Source organism: Homo sapiens, chromosome 7, assembly GCF_000001405.40.
Source record: "Homo sapiens chromosome 7, GRCh38.p14 Primary Assembly".
Lineage (NCBI taxonomy): Eukaryota > Metazoa > Chordata > Mammalia > Primates > Hominidae > Homo > Homo sapiens.
Window position 1 is genome coordinate 151480806 of NC_000007.14, and position 25962 is coordinate 151506767.

At 40.9% G+C, this 25962-nt stretch overlaps 1 protein-coding gene and 1 pseudogene across 4 annotated transcripts in view, besides 1 other annotated feature; one reads left to right on the forward strand and one right to left on the reverse strand.

Moving 5' to 3' along the window:
* Positions 1-25962, reverse strand: part of RHEB (Ras homolog, mTORC1 binding) — a 53884-nt gene that overhangs the window by 14794 nt on the left and 13128 nt on the right. For 2 of the 4 annotated variants that reach the window (XM_011516457.3, XM_024446854.2), the window contains exons 2-4: positions 17284-17375; positions 10138-10209; positions 3932-3999 (exon numbers count right to left, since the gene is read on the reverse strand). In XM_011516457.3, coding sequence (XP_011514759.1) covers positions 3932-3999; positions 10138-10209; positions 17284-17302 — 159 coding nt within the window. In that variant the 5' untranslated portion in view covers positions 17303-17375. Of the gene's footprint in view, positions 1-3931; positions 4000-10137; positions 10210-17283; positions 17376-17541; positions 17649-25962 lie in introns of those variants that run through there. The other 2 variants (XM_047420685.1, NM_005614.4) reach the window with 2 other exon arrangements.
* Positions 9833-10373: an enhancer, noted in NCBI's record as "NANOG hESC enhancer chr7:151187724-151188264 (GRCh37/hg19 assembly coordinates)". NCBI's record gives its function as "activates a minimal SCP1, AML or CMV promoter by ChIP-STARR-seq in naive H9 embryonic stem cells {active_cell/tissue: H9 hESC(naive)}" and the evidence as "EXISTENCE:reporter gene assay evidence [ECO:0000049][PMID:30033119]".
* ETF1P2 (eukaryotic translation termination factor 1 pseudogene 2) lies at positions 20957-23522 on the forward strand (annotated as a pseudogene).

Consider the following 25962-nt stretch of genomic DNA (forward strand, 5'->3'; position numbering starts at 1 on the left):
TCCCAAGTAGCTGGGATTATAGGCATGTACCACCATGTCTGGCTAATTTTGTAGTTTTAGTAGAGACAGAGTTTCACCATGTTGGTCAGGCTGGTTTCAAAATCCTGACCTAAAGTGATCCACCCGCCTTGGCCTCCCAAAGTGCGGGGATTACAGGTGTGAATCTAAGTTATTAACCCATTTATGCCGGAGGTTGCAAAATTTTTTTTTTCATGAAAAATCAGACCTTGGTGACCTTGAGCAGTAGGATATAAATAACTCCCACAAGCTTAACGTTCCAATAATGTAACACCAGGCATAAATAGGTTAATATAGAAGAGGCTACTTTTTTTTTTTTTTGATACTTCACATTCTTACCCCAAAATTCATTTAGGGTATATGTTCTCACCCTAAAATTGGGCAAAACCAAAATATTTCATGCAATCTAAAAATAATCTGTATTTAACCATGTTCATCATCATTCCTAGGTGGGCAATTAAACCACTATTAAACCATAGTGGTATGGATGTACCGACATAAACTACTAAGTAGTAAATAGAACTTGCTAACAAATACCGCTATGCAGCAATTCACTGCGTGCAATTTCACTCCTGAAATGTGGAAGCCAGTGAACAAATTTACTATAGATTACTTTTAAAAGAATTTGCCCCTTAATCATTTTACCCTACTACTACCAGTCTTAATCCTAGAACCAGCCCCCGTATGCATCCAATTTATAAAGCAGCTCTTGGAGCAGTAAACACCTGAGTTTGTTATCATCCAGTTTTCAACAGAATGAAGGGTGAAACCACGGCAGGACATGCCTGTGTGCCACCATCCTGAGCTGTAAATAAAGAGCACATCTTTAATTTATTGTCTCTCAACTGTAAATATAACCTTCAAGAACTACTAGTTGCAATGACTACAAATAATTTAAAGTAGCCAAATTTGGATATATTTTGTGCAAAAATTCTCCAAATACTCTTACCCAGTTGTAATATAACCCGAAGGGGCAAGACAACAGGGCTGCTAATATGACCACTGCTCTTGTCTTATCTCATATCATATACTCTTCCTAAACACTGGTGCTTTTGGTTTCACTATTTGTATTACTACATCACTAAAATATTTTAAATTGTTTGATACCTGAGTGTACATTTATGTTCCAGGGCAAAACAGTACCCCAGAGGAACACATATTCCAACTTGATAAGTAGTCAGTATAAAGAAATTTATTCTTTAGAGAAATCTTTTCAAAGACAGCTCTCCAAGTATTAAGAACATGTGCACTTCCACCATGCAGCCTGTCAACACAGTTAATATGCTGGCGTCACACTTGCCTCAGCAGCATTGAAGGTCTACAAAGAAAGAGCACAGCCTCTTTAACCCCAATGTGACAATCCTGCAACAATGCCAGTTATCACTATTTATAGATAAAGCTCTGAGGCACAGAAAGACTTCTTCACCCTTTTATGTAAAGAGATGGGATCTCGCTGTGTTGCCCAGGCTGGACTGCAGTGGTGCTATCACAGCTCACTGCAACCTCAAACTCCTGGGCTCAAGTGATCCTTCCACCTCCCACAGTGTTGGGATTAAGGGCATGAGCCACCATGCCCAGCCCTCATTCGCTTCCTTAAGGTTACTGGGTTAGCAACAAAAACCAAGATTCAAATCCAGGCAAGTGTAACCCCAGGGCCCACACTCCAAACAGTTATGAAATACTGGTTCCCTGAATTGCCTGATACAAAACGTGTTTCCACAGTAACATTACATGAAAGTGATTTATCAATTTACATTCTCATCACCAGTTTTCAGGAGCTTAAAGGAGATTCCAAATAAGGATACAAAAGCAAACTGAAGTCTTGATAGTGTCAGAGTCCCACAATAAACAGAACAGCTGTATTTCTTTGCCCAGGACATTCTAAGTTACACTGTTGTCCCAACATAATTATTATTAGCACCCCCAGCCCACAACTCTGAAAGTGTCTTGGTTTAGGCAATAAATTATATAGTCAACTATAAAAGAAAGATACAAAACCCAACAATCCAAAACAATTTCCTACTCAAGCGGCTCTTCCCTTCCCTACTAATTTCTAATGAGCCTCGTCATCTGTGCCATGCCCCCGACCCCCTAACAGAGACTTCTACTGCTCCCCTGGTCCATATAAGCCCCAACTCCTATTCTTCTGTCAAGAGGACAGGTATCAGGGGGTGAAAGCCTAGGATGGCTCTGCTCTAATGAAAGCATCAAGAATCTGACTGCTAAAGCACACTGCATCACCACCAGCAGGGAGTGTGTAGGGTGAGTGAAGGAGGCACATGCTATAGCTCTGTGTACAAGCTCAAAGAGCCAAACACATTTATTTTCTTCCAAGCTTCCAAAATGGAAACCTCAGGGTTCCTCCAATGCTAACATCACTCAATACAGCTATCTTCTTGCTTCACTAAGGCATCACACTTTCCTTCTATGTTTACTTCAAAATGCAAAGCAGAGGGAATTCATTCCAAACCCACAGGACAGGTCATATTATTCTGGGTCTACTCCAATTTCCCCAGATTCCAGAAAAATAGCCCCCATTTAACACAGCAAACCAGATCACACTACACTCACCCTCCTGCTACTCTTATCCTTTGATTATAAGTTGCAAGGGCGGGCCAGGCATGGTGGCTCATGCCTGTCATCCTAGCACTTTCAGAGGCCGAGGCAGGTGAATCACCTGAGGTCAGGAGTTCAAGACCAGCCAGGCCAATATGGCGAAACCCCGCCTCTACTAAAAATACAAAATTAGCCGGGTGTGGTGGTGTGCCTGTAATCCCGGCTACTTGGGAGGCTGTGCCAGGAGAATTGCTTTAACTCAGGAGGCACAGGTTGTAGTGGGATAGCACCACTGCCTTCCAGCCTGGGTGACAGAGCAAGACTCTGTCTCAAAAAAATGTTGCAAGGGCAGGAGTTAGGAGCTGAAATCCCAGCTTCTTTACATTCCTCACCCTCCAGTGAAGAAGGGTAAATTCAGTCTTACAGAATAGTTTCTAGTAAAAGCAGGCCTGGATGTCATGGTAATGGGGCAGCTAAGCTGTCAAAAGGGCTTTTCTTTGTTTCATGTACTCCTTTCCCCCTTGCTTCCAGCCAATTCCCTGGTGATCCATTCCACACATCCCTGCTACATTAACCGACATGTGAATATCCTTTCTGGGGGGATTATTTGACTTTTGGCCATTATCTACTGTCTATCAAATAAATTGAAACTCCCTAATCTAGTAATCACTCTCAAATCCACCCACCCAGAGACTCTACTATATAAACTAAAGCCAACACTCAAACCAGAGCCTGGACTCCAGTCAAACTGGTATTTTATGGCCCAGGTCCTCATAAGATTAAATCAGCTAATTTCTGCCCTATGCCCCTCTTATGCCTTTCCTCTAGAAAAGATGTACTTTTGCCCTAATGTAGGAGAACACATATCACAAAGAGAAAGAAAGCAACTAATATGACTCTCTAATATAGAATTAAAGTTTAGAAAATAGAAAACCACTATCCTGTAATAAGTATTAACCCTTACAATGTTAATATATTTAAAGCAATTCTAAAGCAGAAAAACAAGTTATTAAAAGATAACTGCCAGAAATGTCTTAGAAAAGACCAAGTAGACAGCATACTAACATTTAGTTATCTGTGTAAGCTCCTTGACTTATGATGGGGTTACATCGTGATAAACCTACTGTAAACCAAAAATATCATGAGTTGAAAATGTATCAAATACCTCAATAGACCCATCGTAAAGATGAGAAATTGTTAAGTCGAGCCACTGCAAGCCAAACCATTGGGAGTCAGGGACTGTCTGCACACAACCTGAGGGGTTTTCTTGGCATAGCTGGTACTTTTAAAAATCAGTGCTAGGACCAAGACTGTCAGATATGCTGTATAAGATTCTGAGATACCAGAGGTCACTTACTTGCCCGGCTGTGTCTACAAGTTGAAGATGATATTCTTGTCCATTTACTGTGATCAACTTTGTAAAAGCTACAGGGAAAAAGGAAATTAAACATTAGTTTAAAAAAATTAACTCGAAACCACCTGAAGTTTGAACAATGACAACCAATCAAGCACAGAGTCCCTAGCAGTCTCAGAGAAAGGCCCCATGAAACAAAAAAGAACAACTCTCTGACTTGTATAGATTCTCCCCTACTTCCATTATTTAGCTAGGAAATACGGTGACTGGCTAAAATCAAGCTTGGTAAACCTTGATTCTTTTTCAAAGAGACAAAGTACGCAACAATTCATATCCTATAATAGTAATTTGAATGCTGTGTGGCAAATCCTTCCTCTTGTGAAAAAGTGAAATATACTACGTAAAGTCTGAGGTCTAGAATAAACCAAAACCACAAAAATTTTCCATTAATTTATAGGAAGTCTGGCATCAGAGCACAAAGAGCTAATATTAGTTAAGTGCTAAGAACTTTTAGTACATAAAAGAAGTAACAGTTTTACTGACGGATAAAACAGCAATGAAACAGATGTTCTGTGTTGAAGCCATCCTTCCCACTTAAGCTTAAGGATCCAAGCAATTTGTCACAACTTCTTTTCCCTGACAAGGGAGGAAAGAAAATCAGACTTGAATAACTTCCGGAAAAGTCAATTCAGAATTAGAGGGAGACAGACTTCAAACAAATATAGACAAAAGAGGAAAGAACTACTAACAGAAACAATGTAAAAATAACCACCTGGAACTCTGACAAGGAAGTGGAACAGATTTATCTTGCATACCCGCCCCAGCCATCTTGACTCACCATGAGTCCTCCAATCTCCTGATTGGCCGTCCTATATGACTAGAGCCAGGCAGCAGAATCTATCCCTCATACAACTGAGAGAGGTCCCACTCTACCCACAGCAGAAAGGCAAAGCTGACACAGACAAATGGAAATTATGTGAGAAAACTCTAAGTAATAAGGAGGATTGATCAGAGATCTTATCTGAGTTATATGAGTTCCACAGGGAAAGAAATGATGGCTGAAAGACAAGCAATCATCACAGAGAACCATATTAGCGTCACACTTTTCTAATACAAGCAGGGGGGCCAAAAGTCAGGTGAGTAAAGATAACAGACCACAGCATGAAATCAATGGCCACACTATATTATGCTTGTACCTGTTCCGGAAGTTATCACTTTTAGGAAACAGTTAAATCAGATGGAAACTGAATCGGAATATTTCAAGCTGGGGGGATACCCAATATAACCTATTTCATCAATTCTAAGAAAGAATTCAGATTTGTTTTTACACCTTATTCTCTCTGAACTTGGGATGCATCCTGCACCGCTGGAGGTTTCAGTCCTTGTCAGCCAGGGTGCAGTCACTACATAGCTGTGTGAAAACCTTCAGTCACGTGAGATTGAAGTGTATTTCAGATTTGATGAGAAGTATGTAAGAAACACTGGTGAGCAATAAAACCAGTGACCTTCAATTAGAACTAAGTAACTGCAGTTATCAAGTATAATTATGATGACAAGGTTACTGAAAGGAAACATCATTCATTCATTCATTCATTCAAGAACAATTTCTTGAGTGCCTATTATCACCAGTAGCACTGTTGTGGGTGCTTGGGATGCTGTAGTCTCTGATACTCAGTGAGCTTAGATCCCAGGGAAGGAAAGAAGGTATAGACACACACATGTACCCTCCCACCCTGTCGGGTATCTTCCCTGGGAGTGGAACACCCAGGCAGAGGTTAAACAGCAAGTGAAAAAAGCAAAAAAGTCAATGCAGCTAAAGCTCAGAGAGAACGGTAGATAGCTAACTAGGATGGACAGGAGGCAGAAGGTCCTACAGAACTTGGGATTTTTACTCTGAATGTGAGGAGAAACCAAGGAAAGATCACTCTGGCTACGCTGTAAGTAACAAAAATGGTCCCAGGGATATTAGGCAGGAGCCCATGATACAGTGACCACATGACTGTACAGACTATCACAATCTATAGAGGGTGACACTGGCCTGGATTAGAGGTGGAGATATTCTGGAAATATTTCAGAGGCAGAACCAAAAGGATTTTCTGATTGACTGGAAGTGGGATGTAAGAAAATGAAGAGTCAGGATGACTCCAAAGCTTCTGTAAGTTGCCACTTACAGGAAAGACTAGGGGAAGAATACTAGGGATAGGAGAGGAAGGGAAATGAGTTGGGTTTTAGGGATGTTTTGGGATGCCTATTAAATACCAAGGGGAAATGCAGGCAGTTAAATAAAAAAGCCCAGGATGTAGTGGCTTATGCCTGTAATCCCACTTTGGGAGGCCCAGGCAGGAGGACTGCTTGAGGCCTGGAGTTCAAGACCACCCTGGGCAACACAGGGAGACCCAATCTCCACAAAAATGGAAAAACTGCTCCAGCGTGGTGGCTCACGCCTGTAGTCCTAGCTACTTGTGAGGCTGAGGAAAGATCATTTTAAGCCCAGGTATTCAAGGTTACAGTGAGCTATGATCATGCCACTGCACTCCTGCCTGAAGGACAGAGTGAAAGACCTTGTCATGTAGAATAAAATAAATTATAAAATAAAGCCCAGAGCTGGGGGGAGAGGTTGCGGCTGAGAATACACACTGGTGAGTCAATAGCAAATTGAAGAGAGGGGAAGATTACTTGAGAGCAAGTGCAGAGGAAAGGCCTGAACCAGGGCACCCCATGTTGCCAAGTCAAAAAAATGCAGAAGATTCGGCCAAGAAGACTGAGATGTCATTGTACATAGTGTATAAAAGAAAAAAAAAAAAATAAACATTTGCATCTATCTTTGCATGTAAAAAGAATGTAACTTGTCCTACTTGTAGCAGTAAAATGAAAAAGACCTTCCATCTTGCTGTCATAGGAAAACTGCCAGTTTTTTACTATAGAAAAAAGGGAGGTATAATAAGAGATAGGATAGACTCGGAAATAATTCTACTGTCTCTCATTTTAACCTCATGTCAAAGTGGAAAGCTGGCTTTCTTCTGACATCACTCTCCTTGAGCCCCTTTCTCCCTGCCTCTTTGAATCACCAGAGAATCCATTTCCAACCTAAACCCCTGAAATTCTCCTAAGTAGACTAATAGCTATTTACTAGTAAATGCTACTAACCACGGTCATAGAGGTTTCCAAAATTTGGTGTTCACAAAGCAAGATTTGTGTTACTAAAGTGTGGTGAGGGCTCTTCATTCATACCCTACTGAGAAGTCCACACCCAGGACGCAGTGCCTTGAGAATGCTGCAACACCTAAGTGCAACCTCCCAACTTTCTGGAAGGCGCTTTGTCATTCACTAACAGTGCTACCTTGAGATGGCAGAAGTCGGAAATTGCTGCTATGCTTGCTTTTTAGTTATAAACTACCACTAGCTTAATTTCAGCCTATCAATTTAGTTTGTATTGAGTTGTTAGATTAACACTACAGTAGATAATGAAGTACACTTGCATAAGTAGTACTTCTGCTTTAAAATTTCCCCAAACTAGAAAATATGTGGTTTTATTAATATTATTCTCCTACACCCCTACTGTTAAAGATGACACAGTCCCAGAATTTTTGCTCACCATGACACTTCACTGAAATGTGTCACCACTGAGTGTTTGCTATAACAGCTTGTTCTAATATTATAAAGTGTAAAATAACTACTAAATTATTTCCAGATCTACAGAGCAGTTTTTTAAAATCATGAAACCACCCACTTATTTATCTTGCTAGCAACAAGTTCATGATAACCTTTTCTTTTCTTTCTAATTCATTGTTATCACTGAACAATGTTTTTCTACCAAACAGTGGAGGAAAGGGTGGGCGAAGGGCTCCTGCCCTGTGTTAGGTTATCAGAAGTGTGGTAAGTAGAATATAATGTCTGAACATGCCTCACGAACTTTTAATGGATACATATTCATATTTATTTCTGCTCCTGCCTACAGACTTTAATAAACAAGTACTCTGAATTCATTTTTGAGGTAAAGAAGTCTTCATTATTGAACTGTAAGATGAGAAAAAATTTAAAATATGACCAAAGATGATGTTGATAGCCTCAAAAAAGTAGGGTCATATTACTCTGTTTCTGAGATAACATCAAGTTACATAAGTTGGACTTTCTTCTGATCCATTACTTACTAAGAAAATGTATGTATATATAGCTCCATGATACACAACTCCATGACTTTCCTTCCAACTCAGTTTTTACTTTTGAGACCACATCTTGCTCTGCTGCCCAGGCTGGAGTACAGTGACATGATTACAGATCACTGCAGCCTCAAACTCCTGGGTTCAAGTGATCCGCCTGTCTCAGCTGAGACTACAGGCACACACCATCACGCCCAGCTAATTCCAGCTCAGTATGAAATGGCATGAGGATACAGCCACAATATCCACTTTTAGAGGCAGAGCTTACGAAGAAAACAATCTTCTATTGTTCTGTTAATACAATTCCAAAATGAACCTTATTATTTCAAGGATCTAAAATCCTAAATTGCTTTGTATAGCAAATATTAAGGTCCAAGATGATGATTTTCTTATGTTCTTATTCCAGTGGACAGAAAACCGAGCTTGTTCATCCAGCACTCACATTAATCTGCTCCTCACACTTGCTTACTATTATATAATGACCAGCTAGACAAATCATAGGATGTAATCAGGACTCCTCCCTGTAGATACCCAGAGGTTACTTTCAAATATAACATCTTGAAAGGTTACTTTCAAAAATATTCCTGGAGTTAGTTTATCAACCAACAGGTTTCCTTCTCTGCTACCAGCACACTGGAACACAAAGGACAGCCAAATATTTTAAGCGAGGGGTGAGCAAACTTTTTCTGTAAAGGGCCAGACAGTACCAGTAAATATTTTAGGCTTTGTAGGCCACCTGGTCTCTGCTCTTACTATTCAACAACTCTGCCATTGTACAGCATGTAAAGGACAACATGTAAAGGAACAAGCATGGCTGTGTATCAATAAAACTTTATAGAGGTTAACATTTGAATTTCATATAATTTTCACATGCCAGACATTATTCTTCTTTGGACTTTTATATATTATGCTTAAATGGAAAAACCTTTCTTAGCTCTTGGTCTGTATAAAGACAGGAAATGGGCCTTGCTGGCCTGCAGGCTGTCGTTTGCCAAGCTCTTTACTGTCAGCCAAAGCATTCAAGTGATTCTCTTGCAAGCCTCCGGCCGGTGAAATATGCTTCGTGTCTAATATGCCAATCAGGTGTTGATGAATCCCATGTTTAAATCTACATGTTCCTGGTGACAAATCCTAGATAAGTCCTGGTCTCAAGAATCTGAGAAACCTAGTTCCAGGGCCCACCTGGGGTTCTAAGCCTGAAAAGACCAGCTTCCCTGCTTCAGATTATCCTTGGCGATCCCTAGAATCAAGATCTGTCTCAAAGCTGGGCACAGTGTTGTATGCCTGTAGTTCCAGCCACCTGGGAGGCTGAGGAAAGAGGATCACTTGAGTCCAGGATATTGAGTCCAGCCTGGGTAACACTGTGAGACTCATGTCTCTTTAAAAAATAAAATAAAATAAATAAATAGTCTCATGGTCCTAGAATCCATCAGGAATATTCTGAAACCATGGATTAAAATTGAACAAAGTAAAGGTCATGGCTGGTTCTGTCTTCCCTGCTTTTTTCTGCACATGGCCTAAAATGTCAACAGGCTTTTTGAGCCAACTTCTTTTTAATGCTGCAACTGCTCTATCCAATCCCAGAATAGTTCATTTCTCTTTCAAATCTTTAGGGCTGGAAAGAAGGGTATAGAGAAATGTGGGTGGGAGTACGGCTTCTGTAAGAATAAGGAACAGGGATCTCGAGTGTTTTTCATTCTTTCAAGCTTGGAATCCCTGGAAACTGCAATGGCTGGGAGAAAGGGGGTGTGGGGGAGAAGACTGTGCTCTCCATTCCTGTTTTGGAGCAGATTCTGGAATTTGAAGATTCCAGTAATGGGCCAGACTCCTACTGACTTGAATTAATAATTTCTAGATGGCAGGGGATGCAGACATGGAAGGAAAAATCTTTCAGGGTAAAGTAGGTAAATCTTTTGCAAGTTTTCTTTGACCCCAATTGGGAGACACACAGAATTTACCTCCTGCACTCAAAGCCTCCATGAATACACAATGGCTATTTTACACAAAAGAAGGCTTCTCAGTTTTTAAGTACTTGAAAACAATACTTACTGTTTTCTATGGTTGGATCGTAGGAGTCCACAAATTGGCCTTCAACAAATTGAATCGTCAATGAGGATTTCCCTATAAAAGAGAACAAGAGCTTAGTGTGTGTTGGCATATGAAGGTAAAAATTTTTAATTTTGCTGTTTTATTAAAAAACCATTAATAGATGAAGACACTGAAGGTATCAGGGTCAGAAAACATTCATTTAATTAGCATGTGAGCAATTTCAAAAAATGAAATAAATTTCATTAATTTGCTTTATATGAGGATATTATGCAATTAAGCTATTACAAAGTAAACATGTCTGTGACATTAACAAATATTACTGACCAACAAGCACATCAGATATTCTGTTAAAGATAATCTAAAAGGTTTAAAGTAAGCTAATTTCCTCTAGTATTCTTGGAATCTTGCTATTTAATTTTAATATGAAAATTAAAATGATTAGTTTCGTTGTATTCATTCATATATGACGGTTAGAAGTGTTACCAAGTACAGCTTTTAAAAAGAGTAATCCGGCCAGGCACCATGGCTCACGCCTGTAATCCCAGCACTTTGGGAGGCTGAGGCAGACGGATCACCTGAGGTCAGGAGTTTGAGACCAGCCTGGCCAACATGGCGAAATCCCGTCTCTACTAAAATTAACAAAAATTAGCTGGGTGTGGTGGCGGGCACCTGTAATCCCAGCTACTTGGGAGGCTGAGATAATAGAATTGCTTGCCCCCAGGAGGCAGAGGCTGCAGTGGGCCAAGATTGCACCACTGCACTCAAGCCTGGGCGACAGAGCAAGACCCTGTGTCAAAAAAAAAAAAAGGGTAATCTGAAAATATGTAACATAAGTCTTTATCTTAAAAACTCCTTTGAAGCTAGAAATCCTATGTCATTCAGTATGAAAGGCCTAGCAGTATCTAGAAATTAAGAAATGTTATGGATTTCACAAAATCGCCAATAATTGAACTTGTATGTTAATAAATCAACAACTAGAGCCTTAGCTTCTCACTCTTCTGCTACCTAAAATGTCTACTGGAGGACTTTAGAACAGGGTACATGCCCTGTGAAGAAATCGCATGAGATGCATAGTTCAGATGACTTTATCACCAGGAATGAGGAAGTGGTCTCTCCCTAATTTCACCTCCAAACCCTTCCTTCTCTCTTGCATCCTTGGAGCATTATTACACACATGCTGTATATGCCTGGCATACTTAACTCCATCACAACAGGACGTGCAGTGAGAGTGAAGGAGAGGCATGGTAACACCCATCTTACACTACTGGGTTTAATTTATGCTTGTTTCTCCTCCAAACTATGGATAGGTATAGTTGCACAATGTTTTCACACCAAAGGCATTCCTTAAAATTTAAATTATTAAAAAGTTGGCTTAAAAGTAGTGGTTGCTGGCCGGGTGTGGTGGCTCATGCTTGTAATTCCAGCACTTTGGGAGGCTGAAGCGGGTGGATCACCTGAGGTCTGGAGTTCGAGACCAGCCTGGCCAACATGGTTGGTCCTGTCTCTACTAAAAATACAAAAAAAGTTACCCAAGCGTGGTGATGGGCACCTGCGATCCCAGCTACTCAGGAGGCTGAGGCAGGAGGATAGTTTGAACCCAGGAGGCGGAGGTTGCAGTGAGCTGAGATGGCGCCACTGCACTCCACTCTGGGCAACAGAGTGAGACTCTGTCTTATAAAAAAAAAAAAAGAAAAAAAGTAGGGGTTGCTGAGAAGGAAAGGCCACAAGTTGGTAGACCTATTTACTCCTTATCCGCAGCCCAATACAGTTCAAAATGTCTCTAGAATTACTAATACCTGAAATTATTCTCTACAAAGCAACCTACATGAGCATTTGAAAATTAAACGCTACTTCTCTGCTTCCAATCCTCATTGCAATTAGAATAAATTCTCAACATTTTTTTTTTTTTTTTTTGAGACGGAGTCTTGCTGTGTCACCCAGGCTGGAGTGCAGTGGTGCAATCTTGGCTCACTGCAACCTCTGCCTCCCGGGTTGAGGCGATTCTCCTGCCTCAGCCCTCCTGAGTAGCTGGGATTACAGGCACGCGCCACCACACCTGACTAATTTTTTTTGTATTTTTAGTAGAGACAGGGTTTCACCACATTGGTCAGGCTGGTCTCGAACTCCTGACCTCATGATCCACCCGCCTCGGCCTCCCAAAGTGCTGGGATGACAGGCGTGAGCCACCGCGCCTGCCCTAAATTCCCAGCTTCTAACCGTGGCCCACAAACACCAGGCCATCCCTGCTCTGGTTACCACTCTGACCTCATCCGCCAACAGCCCCCGACAACCCATCCTGAGGCTCCAGTCACATCCCTTCTGCTCCTGGAGTTCCTGCCTGCCTTGGCCCCTTTACTCTAGCAACCCCCACTGCCCCCATCTCTGAATATATGACTCATCTTTGTCATTCTGATCTGAGCTCAAATGTTAGTTTCACAGAGAAACCTTCAAGACCACCCTAAGGTAGTACCCATTCCTTAAAAGTCATTCTCATAGCTACTGTTTTATTAAGTTATTTGGAATGATATTCATTTAGTGAACACTCCACTGAAGCCAGCACAGGGCCAGCCGACACATTGTAAACATTGAGATTTCTGAACAAATGAACGAAATTAAAGCGTAGATCTCCAAAGGTCACTCTTAGCCATTTAGATACTACAAAAGATCTCAATTTTATACAAATGAAATACAAAACACAGTTCAACAGAAATTAAGAAACAATTCAATTAGTATTTATTGGTACCTAATCACAGGCTTGCCTGTGATATAGGAATACAATAGTTTAAGAATTCCACAAATTTAAAATGAATTGTGTTGAAAAGAAACCATGTTATATATGCTAGCCTGTAAAGGAGAATTTAACTCAAAATACAGCAGAACTACTTCAGGTAACAAAAATAGCAAGAAGAAAACTCCTCTCATGTTATTGAAACTGAAAAATTAGAAGGAGTAAAAAAAAAACAAACTGTTATTTACACTGAATGCTACTGCTTAAAGAAATGAAATTTAATTAGAAAGAAAGAAGGGAACAAACTTCTTAAGGGCTTTTGCAAGGTACTTCTAAGGACTCCAGTGGGCTTTTTATACCCTTATGTGGGTAGGATAAGGGTTTGTGGGGTTTTTGTTTTGCTTACAAATGGAAAGAAAGGAAAGAAAGCGATCATTTTCTCCCTAAAGATATGGGCAAGAGTTACAAAGAAAAAAGGAAATAATATAATTAAAAAGATTTTTGCAACATTTTGTGTAGTAGAACTGGACTAAAAATAGTGAAAGAGGGGCTAAGTATGATACATGGGATAAGCTCCCCAAGCACTGGGCAACCAGGAACCCCTGGATCAGACAGTCCTCTGAACTGGCACTGGCCAAGTCTCGACAACCTGACTTGCGGGAGTGAAGGGACGGGGGAAAAGAGCCTCAGGAGTTTCCCGTGAAATTCAGGAAGCCACATTTGAACAGAAAAGAAAGTTACACACATTAAACAAGACAGCATGAGATCAAGTGCAAAAACGGAGTGAGAGAAGAGCTCCTTATTTGTATCACAATGGGCATACACTATTTGACAGGCTAAATTAACATTTCACTTGAAAACATAAGTAATCATTCCGGTAACAGACAATGTAGTCTAACCAAAATCACATCGCAGGTTGACAGCCAACTGTTGTTTTCATGAATAGTAAACTGGGATACCAGAATTTAAAACGTATTCCTCCAGGGTGGAAACTGGATTTTCAATCAGACTGGCCCTAGGAGAAAGGTACTGTTCATTAGCAGAAGTGGCACTGGAGAAAAACTACGTTTCCCTTGGGTCTCTCCTCCCTGGGGCTCTCCCGCCAAGGTGAGGTCATTAATTATTTAACTAATCCAGAAGGGATAGGAAGGCTATATTTGCTAACATGCTGTTTTTTGCCATTTCCATTAAAAAGTGCTATTATTAACTAGTGTTGAAATCTTGACAAGTCAGCATTAAATGCTAATGAATCTTCATAAATAAACCCCACCGCTCATTTTCAAGTGTTCTCAGTTCCAGTTGTAATTTCTGGCTTTAAGGAGTGTCTTCTGGAGACGTAGTTCAGATCTTTTGGTTAGGTTTTTCTAGTTTGTTTGCAACCACAAAAAGGCATTGGTGATCTCTACTGTGATCACCTTTAACCTTTTTCTCTCAATAACTTCATATATTTACTTTGGCTTTTGTCCTTAGCAAATTCAGGTCTGGAAACACTGTTACTCGCTTGCTGAAGATAATCTCACACTCCAGATCAACTCTTTGGAAAAATGTTACATGAAAACTACACAGGAGTGATCCCAAATAAATGGAAAAGTAGCCCATACTCAGATGTGTGTTTATCCTCAAACACAAATCACTCATTTAATGACATAAATTACTATAAATGGTTTAAAAGGCAGTATCTCAATTCCTACAATTAACTGTCAAATACTCTTCCTCCAAACCAAAACCCACCTTAACTTTTAAAAATAAAAATTATTTTAAAAAATTCTTCTGAGCTTTTATCAGGGAACAGCATTGTATTATTTTTTCCAATGATAAAATGGCACAGTGAGTTTCTCAGCTGGTATTTTCACTACAGAAGGTGTACTTTCAGGGGTGTTGACTCAATCTTATACCTCATGATTACTGCAAAATAGGCACTGTTTACAGAATTATTTTAAGTTTTCAGATTAATATTGACTTTGTTATCATGCTTATTCTCCTAAAAAATAACTTATTAGCCCGGTGTGGTGGCTCATGCCTGTAATCCCAGCACTCTGGGAGGCTGAGGCCGGTGGATTGCTTGACCCCAGGAGTTTGAGACCAGCCTGGACAACGTGATAAAACCCTATCTCTACAAAAAAAATATAAAAATTAGCTGAGTGTGGTGATGTGTGCATATAGTCTCAGTTACTCAAGAAGCTGATGTAGGAGGATCGCTTGAGCCGAAGGGTTGAGGCTGCAGTGTGCGTTGAGCGTGCCACTGCACTCCAGCCACGGTCTGTCCCCCCTCCCACCGACTCCCTACAAGCCCAGCATTTTCCCAGTTTATACATTGCTTGTTCATTGGGATATGATGGGGAAGACCAGATTTTCAATCTATTAACTAGTCTATCAAGGCATTCTGCAGAAGGGGGAGTCCATTAGAACCGATGTAATGCATCTAGGACACAACCCATTCCAGGGCTGCTTTCACCACCTCAAATTCACAACATAACTTTAAGGGGCTTTGATGACCATGGACACAAGCTAACAGTGGGCCTGAAAGCCCACTGGCCTTTGCACCAGTAATCCTCTCCATGCAACTTCAGCAACCCACCTCCTGAGCACACCAAGAAGTGCCTGGTCACCACCCAGACTGCTGTTCCTCTGGCACCTGCCCTTCTTCCCACCTATCAATCAATACACAGTATTCCCCAGTGGTCTCCCTTTCTGATTCTCATCATCTAATCCAAACCATCTCTACCAGCAATGCTTTCAAATCAGTGGTGTGGCCTAACTATTCATGAAGTCAATATACTGAGCCATGACCCATACTATTTTTTTTTTTAAGAAATAGGAATCCCAGCATGGACTGCAAACAAGAAAGGTGTTATGAACCTTCTATCTCAGTTATACATACATTTATTACTGGGTCACAATGTAAAATGTGTTTCTTACTAAGGTGGCTACAGACGAAAAGGTTAGAAATATACTAAACCATGACCTTGAATCTCCAATCTCCACCAGGTTTCTTTCTTCCCTATACAGTATAAGCCCCAAGACAAATCTTCCACTACTCTTTTGTAAGAAGTCTCCAATTTCCCTTCTGTAGGGCCCTTCAACAAACCTCTATGACTTTTGTTTTTTTGTTTTGTTTTGTTTTTTTGAGACAGAGTCTTGCTCTGTTGCCCAGGCTGGAGTGCAGTGATGCAATTTTGGCTCATTGTAAGCTCCGCCTCCCAGGTTCACACCATTCTCCTGCCTCAGCCTCCCAAGTAGCTGGGACTACAGGCACCGACCACCACACTCGGCTATTTTTTTTTTTTTTTTTGTATTTTTAGTAGAGATGGGGTTTCACTGTGTTAGCCAGGATGGTCTCGATCCCTGGTCTTGTGATCTGCCTGCCTCAGCCTCCCAAAGTGCTGGGATTACAGGTATGAGCCGCCGCACCCAGCCACAAACCTCTATGATCTTAATCTAATCAACTGCCTTTGTGAGCCTATTGAGCTCAGCTACAGAAAATTCCACAACCATGTGGGCTGGTGACCCTTAGCAAGCTAAGGTCTATCCCTCCATGTCCCATTGCTTTAGAATACTGAGTGGCTTCTTCCTTGCCTCCAACAGTAGTAATTCTTTCTCAAAGTGTGGGCCCAGCAGCTTAGTACTACAGGGTAACCTGTAACAAATGTAATTTATTGAGTCCCACTCAAATCTACTGGATGCGCAATTCCAGAATGGAAGTATGAACAAGCCCCCTAGGTGATTCAGCTGCACAGTTCAATGTTTAGGAACCACTGCCCTCAGGCAGCAAGTTCAACTATTATCACCTATCGCCTCCAGAGTGTTCCCTAATCCTCCAGCTCCTACCAGCAACTCAGTTCATAATCACTTAAAGGACACCTACTATGGGCCAGGCACTGAGGATATGGCCATGATTAAGACATGCTATGACTTCTGAGCTATGAGGACGGCACTCGCAATGTCCCGATCGCCGCTATCCTCTATTCACCCAGTGTCCCAGCCTTGGTGCACATGCATCAAACACAGTGACTGGAGCTCCTGAGCTGGGCATGTAGCCCTGTCTGCCTTACACGGTCTGACGTTTTCACCGGAGGAAGAGTTAGCCACCCTCCCCTTCCACAAAAGCTGTTCTATCCCCTTGTTCTCTAGATCCCACACTCCCTCCTGGTCTCCTCTGAACCTTCCTCCTCCTGAATTAGTTATAAACACATTTTTAGTTAACTTCATTCCATGTGGCTTGTTATAATGGTATCTCTGAAATATTTAAATATACTTAAAAATCCAACGGGGCATATTGATTAGGCTCCCCTTTGCTCTCAGTGTTACAGGGAACTCTTGCTGGATGCTGCAGTAGTTGGGTGCCACACACTTGACCATGAAGATGAATGCACCTTACAGAAAATGATCTCAGCCACTTACAGCTCCATTTTACTCACCTAAATTAAATGTGCCCATGGGGATGCACCTGTGCGCCCTGCAGAACTATAACACCACTCACAACAGGTGCGTAGGTCCTGGCTTGAGGAACCTTCAAGGAAAAGGTCAGGTAAATAGAGTTTAAAGTACTGGAGGCAATTAAGGAAGAGGAAGAGAAGCAGCTCTCTAACTTTAGGGGAAACATCAATGAAAGAAATCAAACATCAATGCAACCTGCAGAATAGAACTCAATGAGTACCACTGAATTGAAAGGATACAGTAGCTGTAATCCTAGCAATTTTGGAGACTGGGCTGAGGCTGGCAGATTTCTTGGGCCTAGGAATTCAAGACCAGCCCGGGCAACACAGTGAGACCCCCCCAGTCTCTATAAAAAAAATACAAAAAAAAATTAGCAGGGTGTGGTAGTGCACGCCCATGCTCCCAGGTACTTGGGAGGCTGAGATGGGAGGACCACTTGAGCCCGGGAGGTCAAAGCTGCACTCCAGCCTGGGTGACAGAGTGAGACCCTCTCTTAAAAAGATACCACTGAAAAGCTACTGGGCAGAGGCAAGAGGCAAGAGGCAAGCTGTGACTTCTGGATGTCTACCTCCCTACTGACTAAATGATGACATTCCCGCAGAACAGCTATTAGGTTTCTTCCCTCCAGCTCGGTTACACATTTACTTAAACCTCTACCTAGTTTCATCAGTTACAGACAGAATCCCTTTTGTAGAATAAGATTAACTCTCCAGTCGTCCTTTCTCCCAGCTCTACCTCCTAACAGCTGTATTTTTACAGTTCCAAGCATGGCAACATTCCATTCCATTCTGAATCCCAAGTTTTCAAAGATCTGACTATGGATTAATTCATTCATTTACTCAAGTATCTATCTGTTAAACAGCTATTAAGTGCGAGGCACAATTCTAAGCCTGGGAATACATTGATGAATAGACACAAACCCCTTCCTCAGTATATAAATTCTAATGGGGAGAAACACATTAAAAATAAACACAATAGGCCAGACACAGTGGCTTAGGCTTGTAATCCTAGCACTTTGGGAGGCCAAGGCGGGTGGACTGACTGAGCTCAGGAGCTTGAGACCAGCTGGTGAAACCCAGTCTCTACTAAAAATACAAAAAAATAGCTGGGCGTGGTGGCACGAGCCTGTAATCCCAATTACTGGGGAGGCTGAGGCACAAGAATCACTTGAACCTGGGAGGCAGAGGTTGCAGTGAGCCAAGATCGTGCCACTGCACTCCAGCCTGGGATACAAGAGTGAAACTCTATAAAAAACGAAAAGAAAGGACAGGAAAGGAAAGGGCAGGACAGGACAGGAAAGGAAGAAACAGGAGAGTGGGTAAAGGTTTAGGATTTAAACTCATGACTGTGGTGTGAATCCTAGCTGTGTCTTGAAGTTAAGCGCTCTGGGCCTCAAAATCTCTCTGCATCATAATGATTAAATGAAATCACAGATATAAAGCACAGTACCTGGCACCCATCACATACATATTCAGTAAACAGTTATTCAATTCTGTACCACAATCCCATATTCAATCAAGCCTTTCCCAAATTATGATCAACACCTTGAATCCACAAACACCAACTGAAGTCCTACTCCACGTGTAATTGTGGAAGAGTTAGTATAAAATACCTGATTGAAACCTACAAGGAACCTGTAGTCTCAACAGGGAGAAAGGTACTACTAATTGAGAAAAGTCAAATATCACCCTCCTCCACTTTGGAAGTGTCTTTTTTTCGGAGACAGGGTCTCCCTCGGTTGCCCAGGCTGGAGTGCAGTAGAGCAATCAGAGCTCACTGCAGCCTCCAACTCCTGGGCTGAAGGGATCCTCTTGTCTCAGCCTCCCAAGTAGCTGGGACTACAGGGTGTCCCCACCACACCCAGTGAGTTTTTTTTGTAGAGACAGGGTCCACCATGCTGCCCATGCTGGTCTCAAACACCTGGGCTCAAGCGGTCCGCCCATTCTGTCCTCCCAAAGTGCTGAGATTATGGGTGTGAACCCACTGTGCCTGGCCTGAAAATGTCTTTAAAAAAACATGCTGAAGATTTACTTTCAAAAGCCACTAAGGGTTTTCCAGTCAGAAGAGTGACATGAGAAGATGAAACATTAGGAAGATGAGAATGTGACTCTGAAAAATGGACTAGAAATAAAAACTGGACTTTTTTTAGTCCACTTCAACATAGGTACTTATTACAAACCAACAAAAAAAAGGAAAAAATTAATCTCTAAGAAAAAAATAAGAAAACCTTAAGAAGAAACAAAGTATGTACCTGGTTTCAAGACTTACTAGGAGTCTAAAGTAATTAAGACAGTGTGGTACTGGCATAAGGACAGACACAGATTAATGGAAGAAAATGCACACTCCCAAAATAGATCTATACACATGTATCATCAATTGATTTTCAACAAAGAACGGTCTTTTTCAACAAATGGTGCTGAAACAACTGGATGTCAATATCAGAAAAAATAAAAGAGAGGCTGCGGCAGTAGCTCATGGCTGTAATCTCCACACTTTGGAGCCAAGGTGCGAAGATCGCTTGAGGTCAGGAGTTTGAGACAAGCCTGGGGAACACAGGAAGACCAGTCTCTACAAAAAATTTTTAAAATAAAAACAGAAGAGAGAGAAGCTTGGTTTGTATCCTATAAAAATGTATAGGATCCAAAATAGATCATATTGCTTGAGCCCAGGATTTAAGACCTGCCTGGGTCACATAACGAAATCTCATCTCTATAGAAAATCAAAAAATGAGCCAGGTGTGGTGGTGTGCTCTTGTGGTACCAGCTACTGGGGAGGATGAGGTGGAAGGATCATTTGAGCCTGGGAGGTTGAGGCTGCAGCAAGCTGTGATTCTGCCACTGCATACCAGCCTGGGTGACGGAACAAGACGCTGTCTCCAAAATCAAAAAAATCATAGACCTAAATGTAAAAACTATCAAACTTCTAGAAGAAGCATTGGAAAAAAATCTTTGCAACCTGGAGTTGGGTGAAGATTCTGAGGTATAAAATCCAAAGTACAATCCATAAAAGAAAAAAATAACATCTTGGACTTCATCAAAATTAAAAACTGTACTAAGAGCCTTGTTAAGGGAATGAAAAGACAGGCCACAGACTGGGAGAAAATATGTGCAAAGGACCCATATCCAGAATATGTTTCACTCTCATAACTCAACAACAAGAAACAATCCAATTAAGAAAGTGAGCAAAAGATCTGAACACTTTAACAAAGAAAATATTCAAATGGCAAAGCACATTAAAGATGCTTTTAACATCATTATCCATTAGGGAAATGTAAATTAAAAATTACAATGAGATGCTACACACCTAATTAAAATGGCTAAAATAAAAAATATTGGCCATCCCAGTGCTTGCTAGGACGTGGAGCAACCTATACACTCACCCATTGCCTGTGGGAATGCAAAATGGTGCAGTCAATTTGGCAAGTTCAGCAGCTTCTGAAAAGCTTAACCTACACTTACCATATGACCCAGCAATCTCATTCCTAAGTATTTATGGAAGACAAACGAAAATTTATGGTCAACACAAAAACCTGTATTTGCATGTTTATACTGGTTTTACTCATAATTGCCCCAAAGTGGAAACAAACCAAATGTCCTAAATTATGTTAAACCCATCCCGCAGCCTTGTGCTCCGCCCCTGGCGGAGGAAGTGACATCACGGGCCCCATGTGAGCGCACTGCAACACATGCAGTTGCCTGGTCAGAAAGAGCCGGTGTCCTACCAGCCGCTGCTGCCCAGAACTGGGCCCTTAGGGAAGAGGAGGCAAGAAGATGGTGGACGACCCCAGTGCTGTGGACAGGAACGTGGAGTTCTGGAAGATCAAGAAGCTCATTAAGAGCTTGGAGGCGGGCTGGGCGCCGTGGCTCACGCCTGTAATCCCAGCACTTTGAGGCCGAGGCGGGCAGATCACCTGAGGTCAGGAGTTCAAGACCTGCCTGGCCAATATGGTGAAACCCTGTCTCTACTAAAAATACAAAAATTAGCTGGGTGTGGTGGCACATGCCTGTAGTCCCAGCTACTTGGGAGGCTGAGGCAGAAGAATCTTGTGAACCCGGGAGGCTTATGTGGCAGTGAGGCAAGATCACGCCACTGTACTCCAGCCTGGGCGACAGAGCTGTCTCAAAAAAAAAAAAAAAAAAAGGAGCTTGGAGGCAGCCTGCAGCAATGGCACTAGCATGATATCACTGATCATTCCTCCCAAAGACCAGATTTCACCAGTGGCAAAAATGTTATCAGATGAGTTTGGAACTGCATCTAACATTAAGGCAGGAGTAAACCGCCATCCAGTCCTGGGAGCCATTACATCTATACAACAAAGGCTCAAACTTTATAACAAAGTACCTCCAGATGGTCTGGTTGTTTACTGTGGAACAACTGTAACAGAAGAAGGAAAGGAAAAGAAAGTCAACGTTGACTTTGAATCTTTCAAACCAATTAATACGTCATTGTATTGTGTGACAACAAATTCCATAAAGGGGCTCTTACAGCACTACTTTCAGATGACAGCAAGTTTGGATTCATTGTAATAGATGGTAGTGGTGCACTTTTTGGCACACTCCAAGGAAACACAAGAGAAGTCCTGCACAAATTCACTGTGGATCTCCCAAAGAAACACAGTAGAGGCGTTTTGCCCGTTTAAAAATGGAAAAGCGACATAACTATGTTCAGAAAGTAGCAGAGACTGCTGTGCAGCTATTTCTGGGGACAAAGTGAATGTGGCTGGTCTAGTTTTAGCTGGATCTGCTGACTTTGAACTAAGTCAATCTGATATGTTTGATCAGAGGTTACAATCGAAAGTTTTAAAATTAGTTGATATATCCTATGGTGGTGAAAATGGATTCAATCAAGCTACTGAGTTATCTACTGAAGTCCTCTCCGAAGTGAAATTCATTCAAGAAAAGAAATCAATAGAACGATACTTTGATGAAATCACCCAGGACACGCGAAAGTACTGTTTTGGCGTTGAAGATACACTAAAGACTTTGGAAAAGGGAGCTGTAGAAATTCTAATGGTCTATGAAAATCTGGATATAATGAGATATGTTCTTTATTGCCAAGGCACAGAAAAGGAGAAAATTCTCTAACTCCAAAGCAAGAAAAGGATAAATCTCATTTCACAGACAAAGAGACCGGACAGGAACATGAGCTTATCGAGAGCATGCCCCTGTTGGAATGGTTTGCTAACAACTATAAAAAATTTGGAGCTATGTTGGAAATGATCACAGATAAAATGCAAGACGGGTCTCGGTTTGTGAAAGGATTTGGTGGAATTGGAGGTATCCTGCAGTACCGAGTAGATTTCCAGGGAATGGAATACCAAGGAGGAGACAATGAATTTTTTGACCTTGATGACTAGACATGAGTCTGGCAAAACGTGCCTCACCCTCCAGCATCCAACCCAAGAAGCATACCCATGGTGGAATTCTAACAGATCCCTGCCTTACAACTGAAACACTTCCAGAACTTTATCCATGAGTACTGGTTATTGAAAAGATAACTGAAACAAAACCAGACCCAACCCCACACTTTGTTTTGTCATGGTGTCAGCGCAGCAGCCTACAACTAAGTTCCTAAATGCCACTTTGGACTAATTTAAACAAGAATCCCAGTTTTTACTTTTACTCGATGGTGAAATTCGTTGCTCTTGTATTTTATGAAAAAAAAAAAAATTTTTTTAAGCCTTCATATACAGAAGTAAAAATATTTTAACTGCTGTAAACCTTCAAAAGTTAATAGAAGTGAGATCATACTGGTTTTTTTCTTATTTTGATTGGAGAAAAATTAAATTGCTGCATTTCGCAGTGATCCATTTACATGGCATTCCCAGCTTAGACTGCATAAGAAATAGATGTGGTGAAATGTTGGAACCATTTCTCTCTTGGTCTGTTTAATGTTGAAAGGGTGAGCTAATAGGAGGCAATTTCAACTTCACTCCCTCAAGCTACCCTGTCTCCCTCCAGACTGGCAGTTTCAAGGATGCAAACTGCATTGCAAAATCAAACTGACTCATGAAGCATTTGGGCCAGTGCACTGTTTACTTCCATCTGTTTGCTGACACATTTGTGCCCAGCGTTTGGGAGCCCTTTGTATCAACGTTCTGACAAGTGTCCCTATAACCTTAACCTACTCGAAACCAGTTTGGGTTGGATATGATGGGGCTTCTGTGCTATTGCTGGGATTGGGGGAAATAAAACATGCAATTTAAGTGGGGGGAAAAAATCCACCCAAAGGGATACAGGCATCCCTTGGTATACAAGGGGGACTGGTTCCAGGATGCTTGAGGATAGCAAAATCCGAGTGTGATGAAGCCCTGCTTTTCACCCTGCAGAATCTGCATATATGAAAAGTCGGCCCTCCATACATGTGGGCTTTGCATCCAAGGAATACTGTATTTTCCATTTGCATTTGGTTGAGGAAAAAAAAATTCCTGCCTATAAGTGGGCCCACACAGTTCCAACTGTGTTGATTAAGGGTCAACTGTCCTATTAAGCAATACAAAGGAATTAAATACTGGTATATGTACACATGAATAAATCTCAAATGTGTTGTGCTAAGTAGCCAGACGCAAAAAGCTGCATAATATATGGTTCCATTTATTGGGCATCCTGATAAAGACAAAACTATAGGATAAAAACCACAAAGGGGTAGGGGGCTAACTAGAAACAGGCACAGGGCGCTTTTTGGGTTGATGGATTGTTCTACAGCCTGATTCTGGATGTAGATGACTGCAGACTTGCCAAAACCTGTTGAATGCTACCTCAAAAAAAAAAAAGAAATTTTCTCAAAGTTTTAAATGTTATTTTTCCTTTCTTTTTACAGGTGTGGGACCTCAAGTTTTTTAAAAAATCTTCACCCTTACCTCATACATAAAAACTAACTAGAAATGGATCAGAGACCTAAACATAAAAGCTAAAACTACAAAACTTCTAGAATATGAAAAAAAAAACCCAAAAAACAAAACTTTCTCAAGTCCAACAGAGCTTAAAAGTGAAAACAAAAAAAAAAACAACTTTATGATCTTCAGGTAGACAGATTCCTGACACGATACAAAATAAACAAAACAAAAAAAAAAACGAAAAAGTGAACCGAGTTTCATCAAACTTACAAACTTCTTCTGTTCTCTGAAACACAGGAACAACAAAAAAGTCACACTAGGAGAAAATATTCATTAAATACACATCTGAAAAAGGACTTTTATTCAGAATATATAATTCAGTAAGAAGAATCTGATAATCTAGGCAAAAGACTTGAACAGACACTTCACAAACCAAGATATCCAAATTTCCAGTAGGTATATGAAAAGATGTCCACCATTCTTAGTGGGAAATTTCAAATAAAACCACAACCTACCATCTGAGAATAGCTAGAAAGTTAGAAAGGCCGCCAATACCAAGTATCAGGGAGGATGGGCAGGCAGCAACCAAAGCTCTCATGTGCTGCTAGTGGAGGCATAAAATGGTCAAAATGTTTTGGAAAAACAGTTTGGTAGTTTCTCCTAAAGTATACACTTAACATATATGTGACTCAGCAATATCACACCTAGGTATTTACCAAAGAGAAATGACTGTGTGTCCACGAAGACATTTACTCAAAATGCTCATAATAGCTTTATTCTTAATAGTTAAATACTGGGATAACCCAAATATCCACCAATGGGTGATCAGATAAACAAATTAAGGTATATCCATTCAACAGAATACCACTTTGCAATAAAAAGAAATTATACATGCAACACCATGGATGAATCTCAAAAACATTATGCTAACTGACATACAAAAATGAGTATATATTGTATGATTCGATGTATGTGAAATTTTAGGGTAAGAAAAACTAACCCAGAGTGATGGAGAGCAGATCAGTGCTTCCCGGGGAGCTGGGGTAGGGCGTGAGGGACATGAGAGAACTTGTGGGGATGACGGAATGTTTCATATTTTGATAAAGGCAGAGGTTACATAGGTGCATAAATCTGTCAAAACTCATCCAACTCTACACTTAAAATGGATACTTTATTATATGTAAATTACACCTCAATAAACTTGATTTAGGAAAAAAAGATTTTTTTTAAAAGATAATGCATTTACTTTTTTTTTTTTTTTTGAGACAGGGTCTCTATCTGTTGCCCAGGCTGGAGTACAATGGCAGGATCATAGCTCACTGTATTCAAACTGCTGGTCTCAAATGATCCTCTCACCTTGGTCTCTCAAAGCACTGGGATTACAGGTGTGTGTCACCATGCCCAGCCCATTTACTACTTTTTACTAAACAGTATGAGATGGTGGTTATTAGCTATGTGACTTTGGGCAGTTTTCCTGAGTCCTTTTCCTTATCTGTAAATGGACATCATAATGGTACCTATCCTATAACGTGCTTTGTGAGGATTAAATGAAAATGTATACCAAACATCTGGCATGTAGCAAGTGCTCAGCAAATCTCATTATTATTAATATTAGTAATACTATTAGTAACTGCTCTTAGGCAGAAATAATCCGCTTAGGATAAAAAAAGTATTTTCGGAATTATATCTAATAAATTAACCTGAAAGATGACATACAGTAACTATTTCAACTAAAGCCTCAAAATAACACAAGCAAAATAACAAACATACATATACCCCTAAAGCAGAAAATTACTGTTTCATTTACCCACAGCTGAGTGACTGA